The sequence below is a fragment of the Homo sapiens genome, chromosome 2 (assembly GCF_000001405.40).
Source record: "Homo sapiens chromosome 2, GRCh38.p14 Primary Assembly".
NCBI lineage: Eukaryota > Metazoa > Chordata > Mammalia > Primates > Hominidae > Homo > Homo sapiens.
Window position 1 is genome coordinate 85,685,263 of NC_000002.12, and position 2,688 is coordinate 85,687,950.

The window sequence follows — 2,688 nt, forward strand, 5'->3', positions numbered from 1 at the left end:
TGTGTTGCTTTTCTCACTGATGTTTATATTTTGGGTGGCAAGCTGCTTCCGAGGAGTTGTTTTTGTTTTTCAATTTGATTAAAATGTTCATTTGTTTATATCATAAAGTTGGTAGTAAATTTTATATTTACATAGCAAATTAATATTTATAATATACAATGTCCCTGAACAGGCATAACAAATGTTCTTGGAGTTGTTTTTTAAATTTAAAAACTTTTTTTGAGATGGGGTCTCACTATGTTGTTCAGGCTGATCTCAAACTCCAGGGTTTGAGTGATCGTCCCACTTCAGCCTCCCAAAGTGCTGGGATTACAGGCATGAGTTACCATGACTGGCTGGAATTATTTTGTTTTTAAAATAAGATACATTTAATAAATAATCCATATCCCCAAAAGATACATTCTGAAGAGGTGTGAAAGTTAGAGGGGAAAGGCTTTCATCCTTTTTTTTTTTTTTTTTTTGAGACTGGGTCTCCGTATGTTGCCCAGGCTGCTCTTAAACTCCGGGGCTTCCTGAGAAGCTGGGACTACAGGTGCGGGCCACTGCCTCAGGCTTCAGCTTGTTTTTTATATATCCCGACTCATCATTCTTTTCCAATCATAAAATTATGATTCTTATTGTAGTTGTAAATTTTAATTCACTTTTAATGGCAACATATTAACAGATTCCTATTGAGCAAATTTTCAAGATTATAAATTGTATGTGGAAGGAAGCAGCATTTCAAGCTGACAAATGGATCCACAGGTAATTCGATGTCTCCTAAATTAAGCTTGTGACGATTAAACCAATAAACTAGCGATGAGAAAACTATTGACAAAGTACAACCAGAGAACTCATCTCAGTGCTGGAATCTGTACCTTAAGAAAAAGGATGATTACGGGCCGGGCGCGGTGGCTCACGCCTGTAATCCCAGCACTTTGGGAGGCCAAGGCGGGAGGATCACGAGGTCAGGAGATCAAGACCTTCCTGGCTAACACGGTGAAACCCTGTCTCCACTAAAAATACAAAAAATTAGGTGGGCGTGGTGGCGGGCGCCTGTAGTCCCAGCTACTCGGGAGGCTGAGGCAGGAGAATGGCGTGAACCCGGGAGGCGGAGATTGCACCACTGCACTCCAGCCTGGGCGACAGAGCGAGACTCCGTCTCAAATAAAAAACAAAACAAAACAAAACAAAACAAAGAAAAAGGATGATTACTTGAAGTGGTACAAATGACAACCAGGTACCAAGAAAACAGTGAGTTTGGGCAAGTGTAATTTTTTAGAACTCACAGTATATCTAGAATGGGATGAAAGGGAAGAAGATATAGGATAGTCTCATTCATATAGAAAGTTATCCTAAAATCATGTAACAAAGAGGTTATAAAAACCATAAAATCATCACGAAAAATGACAGCCACTAGCCCTGAATGCTGATGTAGAAAGGACATTGATGAGAATAAACCTTCTGTGCCTTCAGGCTTTGGCAGATAGCTGGGTCTCCCAAAATGTAAGCAAGGACTGAAACGTAAATTGAAATTACTGCAAAGAAATAAAAATAATTTTGACGCTTAAGGGAAGCTTGCTTTTTGAGAAATTCAGGCAATCATCTATACAAACTATCAGGAAAACTGGATAATGCAAAAAGGCTTTAAGTAAAGGACATCATTTGAGTAAATAGGCAGATGTGGTATTTAGTAAACCTAGTGCCTGAAAGTACAGAATTTCTGAAATAGGAGATGATGGAAATGTTTACCAAAAGTACGAGATTGATGGATGCTGGTGAAATGTAAAAATATTCCATACAATTTCACAGGTGTATTTTCTTCTCATTCTTAGGGTGAGGCTATTTAATAATATTTTCCCAAGTGCAATCAGACAGTTAACATCTAGGGACTGCTTGTTTGCTGTGACTGGTGCTGAGAAGAGCAGTTCTCTAAATAAAGGGTCATCATTTTTTAAATTTCAGAAAGTCTGGTGAAACACATACCAAAAAATCTGCTTCACTTTATTTCCCATCATCTGCTTTCTCCCATAGGTCTTTTTTGGCTGATTATCTCCCTATTTTATTTCTGTTTTACTGCCTTTAATTATCTCATTTTGAGTCCCTGGCATTTTGTTTTGTTATATCAAAATGTCACGTGAATAGGCTCTGAGTCATTTGCGCAAGCTGGGGAGAAAGCGGAGAGGGATCTGCTCCCAGCTGGACATCCCTCTGAAGTCTCCTGCCCCCCGCTGACCCCCACCATCTCCCTGGCCACCCAGAATCATCACGGTCCGGGTCCTGGGTTGGCTGATGCTCAGCTCCCCTGCACTGGAAAACTCTTCCTAAAACTTTATTGAGAGAGAAAAAAGATGACTTGGAAAAAATAGAAAGTCATACTATGATCTGCTGGGCGCGGTGGCCACGCCTGTAATCCCAGCACTTCGGGAGGGCGAGGTGGGCAGATCACTTGAGGCCAGGAGTTTAAGACCAGCCTGGCCAACATGGTGAAAACCAGTCTCTACTAAAAATACAAAAATTAGCCAGGTGTGGTGGCGGGCGCCTGTAATCCCAGCTGCTCTGGAGGCTGAGGCAGGAGAATCAGTTGAACCTGGGAGGCAGAAGTTGCAGTGAGCCAAGATCACACCACTCACACCACTGCACTCCAGCCTGGGCAACACAGCCAGACCTGTCTCAAAAAAAAAAAAAAAAAGTTATACTATGATCATG

The 2,688-nt window shown here is 41.1% G+C and overlaps 1 pseudogene, besides 1 other annotated feature; it reads right to left on the minus strand.

Annotated features, from left to right (window-relative positions):
- On the minus strand, window positions 1,177-2,128 carry GPR160P1 (GPR160 pseudogene 1; annotated as a pseudogene).
- Window positions 1,843-2,345: an enhancer, noted in NCBI's record as "NANOG-H3K4me1 hESC enhancer chr2:85914228-85914730 (GRCh37/hg19 assembly coordinates)". NCBI's record gives its function as "activates a minimal SCP1, AML or CMV promoter by ChIP-STARR-seq in naive H9 embryonic stem cells {active_cell/tissue: H9 hESC(naive)}" and the evidence as "EXISTENCE:reporter gene assay evidence [ECO:0000049][PMID:30033119]".